The 16,481-nt window shown below is 38.7% G+C and overlaps 1 protein-coding gene across 6 annotated transcripts in view, besides 1 other annotated feature; it reads left to right on the forward strand.

The window, feature by feature from the left end:
- The window catches only part of RECK (reversion inducing cysteine rich protein with kazal motifs), an 87,543-nt gene that overhangs the window by 42,496 nt on the left and 28,566 nt on the right, over positions 1-16,481 (forward strand). For 3 of the 6 annotated variants that reach the window (NM_001316345.2, XM_017015207.2, NM_021111.3), the window contains 4 exons: positions 1,197-1,230; positions 3,957-4,154; positions 8,286-8,553; positions 11,756-11,935. In NM_001316345.2, the coding sequence (NP_001303274.1) occupies positions 1,197-1,230; positions 3,957-4,154; positions 8,286-8,553; positions 11,756-11,935 (680 nt within the window). Of the gene's footprint in view, positions 1-1,196; positions 1,231-3,956; positions 4,155-5,766; positions 6,877-8,285; positions 8,554-11,755; positions 11,936-16,481 lie in introns of those variants that run through there. The other 3 variants (NM_001316348.2, NM_001316346.2, NM_001316347.2) reach the window with 3 other exon arrangements.
- Positions 13,419-13,638: an enhancer, noted in NCBI's record as "active region_28344". NCBI's record gives its function as "activates an Ori minimal core promoter by ATAC-STARR-seq in GM12878 lymphoblastoid cells {active_cell/tissue: GM12878}" and the evidence as "EXISTENCE:reporter gene assay evidence [ECO:0000049][PMID:35858748]".

The raw sequence follows: 16,481 nt of genomic DNA on the forward strand, positions 1-16,481 counted from the left end.
TCTAGCAGAAAGAATTCATACTGGGTGAATTGAGGAACCCTTATCTATGAGGCCCAGGGTTTTCTGTTTTATTTTGCTTTAAATTGTTAAATCAAGTGTGGCATATTCCTACAATGGAATATTATTTAGCAGAGAAAATGAATGAATACAGCTTCACACAGCTACATAGAGGGATCTTTGAAGCTAGGTTTTAAATGCCAATAGCTGATCCTTTAACAAATCCCCATCACCTAGCCAGCTTGCAATATGGCTGCAATTAAAAGCCAAAATCGTCTCGTTTCAACAATAAGGGTGTGCTTGATTTCCTTCTGCCTGTAATTTATGCCCATATTATTTCTTTTAGGAAGTAATTATCCTCCCATTGTGATTGATTATTATTCATAGCTGACAAGCCCTAAATATCCAAATGGCTTTGTATAAGTTTTTCATTTTTGTCTTGTTTTGGGTTTTATTTTCTTTACATTGACTTTAATACAGGGTGGTGTTTTCTGAACAATAATCTAAGCACTCTAGAGACACTAATTATAGTCTCAAACTCGCTTTTGACTTTTTCTATTACCTGGGGCGGGTCTCTTTTACCCTGCTGAGGAAACAGTTTCTTCATCTGTAAAATGATAGATTCCCAAACTCTGGTCCCAGGATGGCTATAAAAAAACTGTATTTCAAGTCTTGTTTAAAATTTAGATTTCTGTGCCTCACCCCTAGATTCTGAATCTGTAGTCTAGGGTAAGGTCTAGGAAACTCAGATGATTCCAGTGTACAGCCATGTTTGAGAACAAGTAGAGATAATGTCTAAAATCCTTTCAAATCTAAAATGCAGTGGTTACATGAAATATATATTTCCCTAGATGTCATTTATTAGATTATTTTCTGGAAAGTTTTTATATCCTGCAAGGAATAATTAAGATTAATACATTGTAGCCCCTCCCACACACTTACAGCTTTACATAAACTTGGTTTGCTATAACTGGTCAGCTTATGGCTCCAAGTAGTCATCTTGATCCTGATATATGTTGGAAGATGGTTTCCCTTTTTACCAGAATATCATTTCATAACTTCTGTGTTTTCAGTCTTGGATTTAGGGAAGAATTAAATAGTTTTAATATCATGATTTCCATGTAACCATAAAGTGGAATTAAATTACAAATTCTCTCTGGTTGTTAATTTCTGTTTATTTGTTTTTCTTCAATTTACAGAATGCTCTTTTCAGTTGCATTAGCAGAAATGAAAGTAAGTATATTTGTCAATGGTTGTACAAACAGTCCAAAGATATAATTAGCCATCTGAAGCAATGTGCACAGCAGGATTCCGATAGGCTCTTTCCCATGGTGTATTTAGGTCATTCATGTATTATAACAATTCCCATGTCTTAACTGTAGATCTACAATGCAGATACTAAAGCTCAGTGTGCTAGAGGATGATCACAACCCAATAAATAGGCCCATTTTCAGAAGTTAAGTACACCCATGCTATATAATGTAGCACTTGCCGAGTGCTACGTCTCAGTTCATTCAACAGACGTTGATTGAGTACTTGGTCAGTGTGGGGCAGACACACATCTGTGGAGGACACGACCTGTACACAAAGAATGCTGGGATATGGTAGGATATGAGATAGTGTCACTGGATAAAGTGCTCCAGGAGTTCAGAGAAAGAAGGGATCATATTCTGCAGGGGTACTTAGAGGTGGCTTCATGGAGTTGGTAGCTGATCCCGGGCATGAAGGATGGGTAAGATGTGAACAGTGGAGAATGAAGGAAATGGAGATTGGAGGAAGGGCTTACAGGTGAAGGGAACAGTGAGAGCAGACAGACATGGGAAAACACATGTAAGGAACAAAGAGTTCTTTAGCTCAGCAGGAAAGTATATTGAAGGATAATAAGAAACATTTGCTGTCTGTAATTTATCTTCTATCCTTTCTAACTGAGGCTTAGTTCAAGATTTTCCAGGTAGTCTCAGGCATGTAATCTTATGTCCTCCCACACTGGTGAAAAAGCCAGCTGAATGGAGGAATCAGAAGATAGGCATCTTGTCCTGTTCCTATGTGTCTGTTCTTATATGTCCTCACCATTCCCCACCACCACCCCCAATGTATCCTCACTGAGGTTTACAGTGATAAATGCAGCCATTAATCATTGTTCTTTGGCCAGGCGCTGTGGCTCATGCCTGTAACCCCAGCACTTTGCGAGGCAGAGACAGGTGGATCACTTGAGGTCAGGAGTTTGAGACCAGCCTGGCCAATATGGTGAAAACCCATCTCTACTAAAAATACAAAAATTAGCTGGGCATGGTGGCACGTGCCTGTAATCCCAGCTACTAGAGAGGCTGAGGCAGGAGAATCGCTTGAACCCAGGAGGCAGAGGTTGCAGTAAGCCAAGATCGCGCCACTGCACTCCAGCCAGGGGACAGAGTGAGACTGTGTCTCAAAAAAAAAAAAAAAAATTTGTTCTTTGTGAAGAAAATGAACTCTTTGGCAATAAACACAATAAGTTTGGTAGTAGTTGCAAGTTTAAAAGAGGCGGTACAGTAGGTATGGAATAGTTTCCTGGTCTGGGAAACTGAGACTTGTCCTATATCAGTTCAGTCCTAGTTCAGTTTCTTTGGTTATGACTTTATTATTATCATTATCATTATTTCTGGAAGTCACCAGAATCCCTGCTCATGGGTCTTTGGAATTCACCAGAAACCTGATTCTGGTTCCTCCATATCTATCCCTAATAATTATCAAGAATTTCCTCCCTGCTTTCTCTCTCTCTCTCTCTCTCTCTCTCTCTCTCTCTCCTTTTTTCTTTTTGAGACAAGATTTGGCTGTGTTGCTGAGGCTAGAGTGTGGTGGCGAGATCTTGGCTTACTGCAACCTCCGCCTCCTGGGCTCAAACCATCCTTCTACCTCAACCTCCCTAGTAGTTGGGACCACAGGCACATGCCACTGCACCCAGCTAATTTTTGTATTTTAGGTATAGATGGGGTTTCAACATTTTGCCCAGGCTGGTCTCAAACTCCTGGACTTCCAAAGTACTGGGATTATAGATGTGAGCCACAGCACCCGACCCCCCTGCTTTCTCTTAACCTCTTCCTCCCATACCTCTACCTCTCCCTTCAGCCTCCCACAGACTCCCTTAGATTCCTGTGAGGGGTTCTTGTTCTTCTCCTTTACAGATCCCACATCTGCACCCCCAGCTACTCATCTAGCTCTCCCAAAATACCTTAAATGACAGCCCATTGATTTTTTAAATAAATAAATCCAGAGTAATATTTATTTCAAATGAGTTTTCTTTTCAGTGTTGAAGCAGGACATATCAATTGTGAGATGAAGTCTATCTCAATTTAGGCAAACTCTTACAGATAGATGTTCAAACTGTACAGAACTTTTGGGATTTTGTTTCAAGATATACAGTTATATAAATGTCAAATTTATTAAATGATCCTTACATCACTTAGTTTTTACTGGCCCTGTTTTATAAATGTGAGGGATTTGGGGTTTTGTTTTATTTTGGTTTGGTTTGGTTTTGCTTTGCTTTGTGTTTATAAACCTCTACAAATCTAACACAGAAAGACACTGCTTCACTGGTTTTCAACATGGGCACTCTTGGCATTTTGAGAGACAGTGTTTGTTGTCTGAGACTGTCCTATGCATTGCAAGACGTTTAGCAGCCCTAACCCTCATGTACTAAATGCCAGTCGTAGTCCAACTCCTTGTGGGGTGTGATACTGTTCCTGTGGAGAACCACTGGACTATAGACTGTAAGTTGATGATTAATGACTTTATTACACTAGTGAGCACTTGAATGTCCCCGTGAGTATACCTACAGAAGTGCCGATTTTAAGTGTTCATCGTCTGTGGCATGGTTTTATTTCTCAAATTTAGAAAGACATATTGTTCCATCATTATGATGATGATTTAATGTTAACAAAAAGCTGTTTCCATGTCAGTGCCTTCTCTTTTTTTCTCCATAGTGGGCTCGGTTTGTTGCAGTTATGCAGGTCATCACACAAACTGCCGAGAATACTGTCAAGCCATTTTTCGAACAGACTCTTCTCCTGGTCCATCTCAGATAAAAGCAGTGGAAAATTATTGCGCCTCTATTAGTCCACAATTAATACATTGTGTGAACAATTATACTCAATCTTATCCAATGAGGAACCCAACGGATAGTAAGTAAAAGGGACATATTCTTCTCATTTCAATCTTTGGTAAAATCGTTTGTAAAAAGAAGTGATACGTTCTTGTAGATATCTGCAGTCTGGGTCATTTGAGAAATATCAGACTTCCTTTGGTATTTAGATTTGGCAGATTGAATAATATTGTCACAGCCAAAAGGGGCCAAGAAAGATGAAACTGTAGAGGGTATGAGGAAACAGGAATTCTCAATTCTGAGGGTGGGAGAGTTCACTGATATGGATTTTTTAGAGGGAAGTTGGGTAATGACCATTAGGATTTCAAATTATCATAAGCTTCTGATCTAGCAGTTCCATTTCTCAGAATTTATCTCATAAGAAAACTTATATAAATTTGCAAAAATAAATATATATGCATATAAACAATGTTCACTACAATGCTGGTATAATAGAGAAAAATGACAAACAACCCAAACATCCATCAATACAGCATTGATTAAAATTGATTAAGTAAATTACGGCATACCTATAGAATAATAACACTTGGCAACCAACAAAAAAAAAGGACTTCTTACGTAGAAGTCCAAGGCTGAGTGTGGTCGCTCATGCCTGTAATCCCAGCACTTTGAGAAGCCAAGACAGGCAGATCGTTTTGCGCTCAGGAGTTTGAGACCAGCCTGGGCAACATGGTGAAACCCCATCTCTACAAAAAATACAGAAATTAGCCAGGTTCACACGCTTGTGATCCCAGCTTCTTGGGAGGCTGAGGCTGGAGAATCACATGAACCTGGGAGGCTGAGGTTGCAGTGAGCCAAGATCCTACCACTGCACTCCAGTCTGGATGACAGAGAGAGAGCCTGTCTAAAAAAACAAAACAAAACAAAAAGGCCAGGCACGGTGGCTCACGCCTGTAATCCCAGCACTTTGGGAGGCTGAGGTGGGCAGATCACCTGAGGTCAGGAGTTCAAGAACAACCTGACCAACATGTTGAAACCCTGTCTCTACTAAAAATACAAAAATCAGCCAGGTGTGGTGGCACATGCCTGTAATCCCAGCTACTCGGGAGGCTGAGGCAGGAGAATTGATTGAAACTTGGAGGTGGAGGTTGCATTGAGCCGAGATTGTGCCACAGCACTCTAGCCTGGGCAACAGACCAGACATCGTCAGGAAGGAAGAAGGAAGGAAGGGATGAAGGGAGGAAGGGAGGGAGGGAGGGAGGAAGGAAGGAAGGTAGGCCCGTCCGAGTTGGCCAGCATAGTGACTCACACCTGTAACCTTAGCACTGTGGGAGGCCTAGATGGGAGGATTGCCTGAGGTCAAAAGTTCAAGACCAGCCTGGACAACATAGTGAGACCCTATGTCTCCAAAAAATTAAAAAATTAACTGGGCATGGTGGCACATAGCTGTAGTCCTAGCTACTGGAGAGGTAGAGACAGGAAGATGGCTTGAGCCCAGGAGGTCAAGGCTGCAGTGAATTATTATTGTGCCACTGCACTCCAGCCTGGGTGACAGAGCAAAACCCTGTCTCTAAAAAATAGTGAAGTCCAAGATGTATTAAGCAAAAAAAAAGTAAATCACAGAACTAAAAATATAGTGTGATATATTTTTAGTTTATACCTAATTGTTTCACTTTATATATTTTCCACAGTGTTTGAATTTTTTGCCAATGAGCAATTATTACTTTTGTAATTAAAAAGTCATAACAATGAGAAGAGAGCCTGATATCTTTTAAAAATTAGGGCCTCCTGATGAAGCTGCACCTGAAATGGCTCTTCAGAGTCTCCGCTTTGTACATCCTGGAATCCATTTTCTTCACCTAGAGGTGACCAGATTTATAAAAACTGACTGATTGACCAAACTGACCAAAGACTGATTTATAAGATGTCAATGTTTTGATTTACACTGTGATATTGAAAGAGGCTCTGTGGCTTATGTCTGTAATCTCAGCGCTTTGTGATGCTGAGGCAGGAGAATTGCTTGAGGCCAAGAGTTTGAGACCAGCCTGGGTAACAAAGTGAGAACCCAGCTCTACAAAAAAATAATAATAATAATTAGCTGGGTGTGGTGACACACCCAGCTCCTCAGGAGGCTGATGCTGGAGGATCGCTTGAGCCCAAGAGTTCAAGGTTGCAGTGAGCCATCATCACTTCACTGCACTCCAGCCAGGGCAACAAAGCAAGACCCTGCCTCGGGGGGAAAAAAAAAGATGAAAAGAAAGAAAGACTTGTTTTTTGTAACTCAGTAGCAGTACTGTGTGCCTTGTTTGGCCACCATCTAAATCAGAACTCTAATGGCTTTTGACATCCTTTGGTGTAGCTGTGTGGTCAAAATCAGAGGATGAAGCATTGCCCCAATAACCTTCATTTGTTTTAAAGGCAGATCTGTGCTCTCTGACATTTAGTCTATACGAGATACTGCTGGAGCTAAGGAGATGGCAGCTCAATAAAAAAGCAGAAAGAGGTTTTAAGGGTAGAACAACCGTCTCCATCTTTGCCAATACAGAGGAATCTGGAAAAGAAGGCGCCAAACAGATATGCACAGATTTCTTCCAAAGTCAGAGAAAACTACTTCAAAGAAGCCCTTCTGAATTCTGTAATATGGTTGAAAGTGTTTTTTTATTTCTGATTCTTTGAGAAAATTAAAGGCAGAGCCAAACTGATATCTTGTCAGAGTTCGCTACTGTACTATTTATGTTACAACTTAGATTAATTAGCATAAGATATATAAAAGCTTTATGTGGTCCTGGAATGTAATGAAATATTGTGTCTGGAATTGGTTCCTTCCGGTGGGTTCTTGGTCTCGCTGACTTCAAGAGTGAAGCCACAGACCTTCGCGTGAGTGTTACAGCTCTTAAAGGTGGCATCCAGAGTTGTTTGTTCCTCCCAGTGGGTTCGTGGTCTCGCTGACTTCAGGAGTGAAGCCGCAGACCTTCGCAGTGAGTGTTACAGCTCATGAAGGTAGTGCCGACCCAAAGAGTGAGCAGCAACAAGATTTATTGTGAAGAGTGAAAGAACAAAACTTCCACAGCATGGAAAGGGACTGGAGCAGGTTGCCACTGCTGGCTCGGGTGGCCAGCTTTTATTCCCTTATTTGGCCCCGCCCACATCTGCTGATTGGTCCGTTTTACAGAGTGCTGATTGGTCTATTTTTACAGAGTGCTGATTGCTACCTTTACAAACCTTTAGCTAGCCAGAAAAGTTCTCCAAGTCCCCACCTGACCCAGAGGCCCAGCCGGCTTCACCTCTCAATATGGTGTTTGTGTTTGTTGCTATAAAAATTAGTCATTTCTCTCATGTCAAGAACATAATCCCTTTTAGGTAATTGTTTCTAGCAGGAAATAATTCCAGTTTCATCTACAATACCTTTTCTAGGAATATCAAATACCTCTCCTGTGAGGACTTCTTAGGTGTAGGATGGCCTTTCATTTTTGTAAGGATGGTGCTAAAGATCCCATGATTGGAGACAGTGGTGAATTCTGGTAATAGATACCTTGTCCACCTAAAGCTCCTCACCTTTTTGCTACACTGCAAAGTAATAGAGAATTTGGTAGGGCCTGTATTCTGCAAATACTGACATATAACTAAGAGTAGTAATGGCTTCCACTACACTGCCATGTTCTGTGCTAAGCAGAGCATGACAAAAAAAGAAAAAAAAAACATGCACACATATGTTTATTGCAGCACTATTCACAGTAGCAAAGACTTAGAACCAACCCAAATGCCCATCAGTGACAGACTGAATAAAGAAAATGTGGCACATCTACACCATGGAATACTATGCAGCCATAAAAAAGGATGAGTTCATGTCCTTTGCAGGGACATGGATGAAGCTGGAAACCATCATTCTCAGCAAACTAACACAAGAACAGAAAACAAAATACTGCATGTTCTCACTCATAAGTGGGAGTTGAACTATGAGAACACATGGACACAGGGAGGGGAACATCACACACCAGGGCCTGTCAGGGAGTTGGGGGCTAGGGGAGGGATAGCATTAGGAGAAATACCTAATGTAGATGACAGGTTGATGGGTTCAGCAAACCACCATGGCATGTGTATACCTATGTAACAAATCTGCACATTCTGCACATGTATCCCAGAACTTAAAGTACAATAAAAACAAACAAAAAAAACAGCTAATTAAGCCACTTATATTCTGAAAATGTAGGTTTATATTGCTGTGACAGAGCTGAAGACCATGCTTGCCAAAATGCCTGCAAGAGAATCCTGATGTCCAAGAAAACGGAAATGGAGATTGTTGATGGTCTCATCGAGGGTTGTAAGACCCAGCCCTTGCCTCAAGATCCTCTTTGGCAATGTTTTCTTGAAAGCTCACAATCTGTTCACCCTGGAGTCACTGTACACCCTCCTCCCTCTACAGGCCTCGATGGGGCTAAATTGCATTGTTGTTCTAAAGCAAACACTTCAACATGTAGGTTAGTATTTCATTTTCCTTTACCAAAATCAGTAGAAAATGGCATTTTAATTAATGATTTTAAGCCTAGCAAACGTGTGTTATATTCTTACGTGGTATAGGTTTAGCATTTAGAAAATATAAAATATTATTTCATCCAACAAATGTGTATTGAGCATTGTGTACCGTATACAAAACATTGTTCTGTATATTGAGTGCTAAAAGCTCTGTGTTTTGGGGTGTGGAGGATTAGCATTGGCAGGGTAGTAAATATTTAAGATGATGCAATAGATGAATTCTATCCTTATAGAGATCATTAAGTAAGCTTACAGTTTAGAAGATGTTTTGATCTGACATCTAAGGGACATTCTCTTTATTAAATTATGAAACTTTGAACTTTTTATTATATTGGTGGATAACCTGGGTTAGCACTTATAACCAGAGTTAGGTGGTAGCATATTGGCATTCATCTTGGTGATACACTTAGAGATGAAAAATTAACAATACAAATATAGGATGTAGGAATTGCAGTCTAGAGACAAAAACAAATGGAGATACCTAAGATCATGGTAGAACACAGGTACAATAGAAATGTGCTTTATTAGAGATATTTGGGGTAAAAAGGGACCCCATGTTACTCGGATATCCTGAAATGAATATAAGATACCAGGCGTAAAACAATCTTTCCTGTGGTTTCTAAATTGGATGGACCTTTAGCAAAAAATTTTGCCTAGAATAGCTCATCAGACTTTGGTAATTGTCAATCAAACTTTGGCAAATTTTTTAAAAGACATGAAGGTCGGGCGCGGTGGCTCATGCCTGTAATCCCAACACTTCAGGAGGCTGAGGCAGGGGATCACCTGAGATCAGGAGTTTGAGACCAGCCTGGCCAATATGGTGAAACCCTGTCTCTACTAAAAAATATACAAAATTTAGCGGGGCGTGGTGGCACATGCCTGTAATTCCAGCTACTTGAGAGGCTGAGGCAGAAGAATCACTTGGACCTGGGAGGCAGAGGTTGCAGTGAGCCGAGATTGCGCCACTGCACTCCAGCCTGAGTGACACAGTGAAGACTCCGTCTCAAAATAAATTAATTAATTAATTAAAGACATGAAAAAGAGCGAGACTCTGTCTCCAAATAAATAAATGAAAGACGTGAAAAATCTCCAAAGAAAATTAACAAAAAGGCTTAAAGGGAAATTAAATTAGGCTTGTAATTAAGGAAATTAGATTGCTTGTAGAAGTTAATAAATATATTTATGGGAAGGATGCTGAGTGTTTCTTTGAATGCCCACAAAAAAGTTTACACCTACGTAGAGTCACTAGAGGTTGGAATGGCCGTGTTGTCCCAAAAGAGCTTCAGTAAGGAAGGCTTTTCCTTCTCTCTAACCTTGATACAGGGTTTTATGGTTTGCTGAAGGCTTGCATTTTCATCAGATTTCATCTTCATAAAACCTTAGGAGATAATTGGAGAAATTTATGTAATTTTTCTTTTACACTTAATAAACTAACTATGAGATGTTAAATAACCTGTCCAAGGCAAATACAGATTGACCACCCTTAATCCAAAAATCTGAAATCCAAAATGCTCCAAAATCAGAAACGTTTTGAGTGCTGACATGACACCACAAGTGGAAAATTCCACACCTGACCTCATGTGATGGGTCACAGTCAAAATGCAGTCAAAACTTTGTATCATGCACAAAATTATTTAAAATACTGTATAAGATTACCTTCAGGCTATGTGTATAAGGTATATATGAACATAAATGAATGTCGTGTTTAGACTTGGGTCCTAGCCCCAAAATATCTCATTAGGTATATACAAGTATTCTAAAATCCAAAAAAAATCCAAAATTTGGGTCCCAAGCATTTCAGATGAGGGATACCCAACCTATAGAAAGTTAAGGACTAGCCAGATGCAGTGACTCAAGCCTGTAATTCCAGGGTGAGGCAGATGGATCGCCTGAGGTCAAGAGTTCCAGACCAGCCTGGTCAACATGGCAAAACCCCATCTCTACTAAAAATACACACACACACACACACACACACACACACACACACAAATTAGCCAGGTGTGGTGGCAGATGCCTATAATCTCAGCTGCTTGGGAGGCTGAGGCACTAGAATCACTTGAACCCAGGAGGCAGAGGCTGCAGTCAGCCGAGATCACGCCACTGCACTCCAGACTGGGTGACAGAGTGAGACTCTGTCTCTAAAAACAAAACAAAAAAGAAAGAAAGTTAAGGACTAGAAAAAAGAAAGCTTCCAGATCGAGGTACCTGATGTAACTTGATCACAGCTTCCTTATTCCCATAATGTGTAAGCCTCACTGATAGCAGGGACCTTGTCTGTTTTATTCACCATTGTATTTCCAGTGCTTTCAACAGGCCCTCACACAAAATAGACACTCAATAAACATTGGTGGGGTGAATGAACAAATGTAAAAGTAAAGATATCTTTGTCATAGGGGTAAATATGACAGTCAAAATATAAGGTGAATGAAAATTTTTACTTATAATTTTGTATATTTCAATAATATGAAAATTTTATTGTAAACATGTATTTTATAAATAAAATGAATATCATGTGTGAGAGCACTTTAGAAATGGTATAAATGTTTTAGCTATATACACATACTTAAGTTGCTTTGTAATCATTGAGTACTAAAAATAAGAAGATTGTGTATTACAATAGTACATAGAGGCTTTGGAATATCTTAGGGAATAGAAATGGCTTTAGTATAGTTTTTCAGGGAGAAACTAATGTACCCTAAGTCTATCATGCTTCTTAAAAGAAGTCAGAGGACCATGTCCTAGTTTTACCGTCTGTGACTGAACATAAATATAAGGGAATATATCTTTGCAGAGGCAAAACCATGTACTTTAAGTAAAAGTAAAAAAGAAATCAGAAAGATATAGGGGGAAATAATTGTGCCAGGAACTAAGGATGCACAAATACTGTAATTGAACATTAAATTTGGCACTGAGATTTCTAGCAACCTTGACAAAAAGAGAAAAGGTAGGTGATAAAAGAAGCCTGTTTTCCATGGAAAACAATCAACTTTTTCTGGCTCTAGTTTCTAGGAAATAGTCATTTGGTTTTTTTACTTTTTTTCTCACATACGTTCCAAAGTATATAGTTCATAGAGTTTTAGTTTTATGCAAATCAAATATTTACTTGGTTGGCTCATGTCGGCTTCTGCATTTGTGCTCTTGTTTCAGGGAACTCTGCACTAAACTTTACAGCATGAGCTGGGGCAATACACAGAGTTGGCAAGAGTTTGATCGCTTTTGTGAATATAATCCAGTGGAAGTGTCCATGTTGACCTGTTTAGCGGATGTCCGGGAACCTTGCCAGTTGGGCTGTAGAAACCTTACTTACTGTACTAATTTTAACAACAGGTAAGACAAATTATTATACATGGAATGGAAATATTTTATCATTAATTATAAATAAGTGAAATACCACTTTATTCTGATTTTATTCCTGTTGGGTTAAAAGAAAGTCTTCTTTATGATTTAATCTTTAAATGCAGTATTCCATCTGGTAAGCCACCTCTGGGAAAGGAAACACTATTACAAAGTCCCTTCCAATCTAGAGATACCTCAAGCTTCTGGAATTCAAAGAATCTCTTCTGCCGTCAGTCCCCTCTCCCTTCTACTGTACCACCAGTGGAAGTAATTCATTGTAGAATAAATTATTGTGAACTATTTGGTCATCCAAATGTCCACTTTTAAACAGTTTACTTTAAAGGACCTTGAGACTGGTTGAGGTTTCTTCTCTGTGAGTCCCCTGTTTCATACAAAAATATTTCTTTACAAAAGCAATTCAAATAGATGTTTTCCCAGGGTATCAAGTATCATTAGAAAAATAAGGAGGCAAGAACTGAGCCTTGGAGCATATCAACAGTTAATGGTTGAAGAAACCAAAGAAAACAGAAGAGGGCACCGGAAGCACGAAATGAGAGAACTCCATACAGAAGCAAGAGAGAGAGAGTTACTAAAGAAGAGGTGGCTGATTTATAAGTTACAACCCAGAAATAAAGAGGGCAAAAGGGAAGAGAATCATTCAATTGGGCCAGAAGGAAGTTCTAGATATTTTTGTCAGATGGTGTTTACTTCAAGCTAACACACATCTTATTTTTTTTAAAGTACTCAGAGTATTACTTAAGAGTGAGAAAATTGAGATATCTTTAAAACTGGTGATAGAGTATTAGCCAGTAAAGACCTGATTTAGAGATTGAGTACATCTGAAATGTTTGAAAGTTAGACTTTGGCACATAGTTCTGGTCTGGCTTCTGGTAATTGTGGAGTAGCTTGTATGAGAATAACAGTCCTACCAATACCAATTATGAACTCCGCACAAAATATAAAAGAACAATTGTTTTGAAGGTATTGGAGACTGATCAAAAGCAGGAGGGTCTACATCTTTTTTTTTTATTATTTTTGAGACAGAATCTCACTCTGTCACCCAGGCTGGAGTATAGTGGCATGATCTCGGCTCACTGCAACCTCCGCCTCCTGGATTCAAGCAATTAATTCTCCTGCCTCAGCCTCCCAAGTAGCTGGGATTACAGGCGCCTGCCACCACACCCAGCTAATTTTTTTTTTTTTTTTTTTTTGTATTTTTAGTAGAGACGGGGCTTCACCATCTTGGCCAGGCTGGTTTCGAACCCCTGATCTCAAGTGATCTGCCTGCCTCAGCCTCCCAAAGTGCTAGGATTACAGGCGTGAGCCACCACGAGTGGCCAACGTCTCTTGAAAGATAGAAACCACACTGAGCGAAAGCCACATTTGTGCACTTCTTCCTCATAGGCACTTTCAGTTTCTTTTCATGGGGAGTAGAGTTCAAGCAGAAAGCAGCAGTCTTGGCCTAAGGAGTGAGACATCAGAGTTTGGTCCTGCCAGAGAAGCTAGATATTGAAGGAAAAAAAAAATCCCACAAGGGAGGGAACCACAAAAAGAAATGTCCCAAAATCCATAAACAGACTCCTTTTAAGTCCTTGGCTGACTCCTAAATTGTACTTTTGCAGGATGAGACTACAAGGAACCCAGGGGAAGGTGAACATAGACTATAGCAGTTAGCATTTGCTGGGCAGACGATTTAGAATTCAGATTATGCCAAGTTAGAAGGGCCTAGTAAACCCCATAAGGGCCAAACCTTGGGAGTACATACGACATCCAAGAGCTAAGAGTAAAGCTGAAAAACCTTAACAAAACCTGAAACTGCCTCCAGAGGAAGGAGGTATTTGTCAGTAATTTAACTGCCTGCTGGTGTGAAAACAACATTCCTCCAAAGAAGGTAACAAAATCCTAAATCCCACAAAGTATCATGCATAATGTCCATTATACAATCAAAAATTACTAGAAATGAGAAAAATAGGAAATATGACCCATAGTTAAGAGAAAAAACAATCATACCCATTGGTGACCCAACTATTGGAATTAGCAGATAAAGAATCTAATTATGATAAATATATTGAAAGATCTACAGGTAAAGATAGATATAGGTGAGATATGGAAGCTCTAAAAAAAACCACATGGAAACTCTAAAACTGAGAAATGCAATATCTAAAATAAATTTATTGTAGGGAATGGAAAATAGACACAGCAGAAGAAAAAGGTCAGTGACCTCGGAGATTGCTCAATAGAAACTATCTAAACCAAAGCACAGAGAATAAGTGATACAACATCTGTGGTAGTAACCCAGAAGGAAAGGAAAGAAAGGAGCAGAAAAATATTTGATTAAACCTTGGCTGAAATTTTTCCAAATGTGATCAAATACATTAACCCATTTTTTGGGAAACCTTAGTAAACGCTAAGTCAGATAAATACAAAGAGAGACACACCTAGCACATTATAGTCAAACTGTTGAAAACCAGAGGCAAAGAGAAATAGTTAAAACAACCAAAGGGAGAAAAAAAGACACTTTACATATGATGGAATAACAATAAAAATGACAAGTGACTTCCTTTCAGAAACAATGGAGAACCAAAGACCATCAAGTAGTATCCCAAGTAGTATCCTTAAAGTACTCAGAGAAAAAAAAATCTTATATTCAATGAAAATATTCTTCAAAAATAAAGGTATTTCTAGATATTACAAAAAAAAACAACCTCAGAATTTTCTGCCAGCAATCTCTCACTACAAGAAATTCTTCAGTCTGAAGGAAAATGCCACATGAAAACTCAGACCTATAGAGCACTGGGATTGGTAAATGTTGGTAAACATGAAAAATATTTTTTCTTTATTTTCTTTTTCTTTTTTTTCTTTTGTATTTTATTTTTCAAAAGTAATTGGTTAAAGCAAAAATAATAACAATGTATTGTGGAATTTATACATAGAAGTAAAATATATGATATATGACAGTAGCAAAAAGGATAAGAGAGAGGTAAATAATTATACCGTTATAAGTTTCTTACATTATTTGTGACATTGTATAGTATTAATTCAAGGAAAACTATAATAAATAATGGACATATATTATGCCTAGAGCAACCACTAATTTAAAACACAACACAAAGAGGTATAGCTAAGAAGCTAATAGGAAATATAAAATGGAAAACTAAAATAATACTTGATCCATCCAAAAGAAGACAGAAAGAAAAAGGAGACAAATTGAAAACCACAGCAAAATGATAGAGACTTAAACCCAACTGTATCAATAATTACATAAACGTAAATGAACTAAAAACATCGATTGAAAGGCAGAGGTTGTTAGAAAGACAAAGACTATTATTGGAGATAAAGAGTATCACCTTATAATGATCAAAGTTCAATTTATCATGAAGATACAATTAACCTAGATATATATGCACCTAATGTCAGATAGATGCATATACTCAAAATACTTAAAAACAGAAGTAAACCCTAAAGAGAGAGAAATATTCAATCATATTCAGAAATGTTAACACCTCTCCCTCACTAATAGAACAAATGGAAAAAAATCAGTGAGGATATAGAGGATTTGAACAACATATGCTGGGTTAAAAAGCAAGTCTCAACCGCTGTCAGAAGATGAAAATCATAAAAAGTATATTTTCTGAACACAACAGAATCAAATTGGAAATCAATAAAAATAAACTATATTGAAATATTCCCAAATATTTGGTAATTAAACAAACGCTTCTAAATAATTTATGCAACAAAGAAGAAATCACAAAGGAAATGCTTGAACCTGGGAGGCAGAGGTTGCAGTAAGCCAAGATTGCACCACCACACTTCAGCCTGGGCAACAGAGCAAGACTCTCTCAAAAAATAAATGGAATACTATGAACAACTTTATGCCAGTAAATCCTGCAATTTAGATGAAATGGATGCATTCCTTAAAAACCAAAACTAACACAAGAAGAAGTACAAGTTAGGATTATTCTTATAACTATTAGAGAAATTGAATTTGTAATTATAAATCTTCACACAAGGAAAACTTCTGGCTTTACTGGTAATGCTTACCAAACACATAAGGAAAAAATTATGCAATTATTACACAGAATTTTTCAGGAAGCAGATAACATATCCCAACTCCTCTTATGAGGCTAGCATTACCTTGATACCAAAACCGACATGGACATTAAAAACAAGGTAACTATTGTCCTGTGTCACTCAGAGATGCCAAAATCCTCAATAAAAGATTAGGAAATTCAATTCAAGTATAGGAAACTGATTTTCAACAAGAGCAGCAAGGCAATTCAATACAAAAATAAACATCTTTTCAGCCAGGCATGGTGGTTCACCCCTATAATCCCAGCAGTTTGGGAGGCTGAGGCAGTTGGAATGCCTGAGCTCAGGAGTTTGAGACCAGCCTGGGCAACATGGTGAAACACCATCAATCAAAAATACAAAATATTGGCCAGGCACGGTGGCTCACGCCTGTAATCCTAGCACTTTGGGAGGCTGAGGTGGGTGGATCACCTGAGGTCAGGAGTTCGAGACCAGCCTGGCCAACATG

Source organism: Homo sapiens, chromosome 9, assembly GCF_000001405.40.
Source record: "Homo sapiens chromosome 9, GRCh38.p14 Primary Assembly".
NCBI lineage: Eukaryota > Metazoa > Chordata > Mammalia > Primates > Hominidae > Homo > Homo sapiens.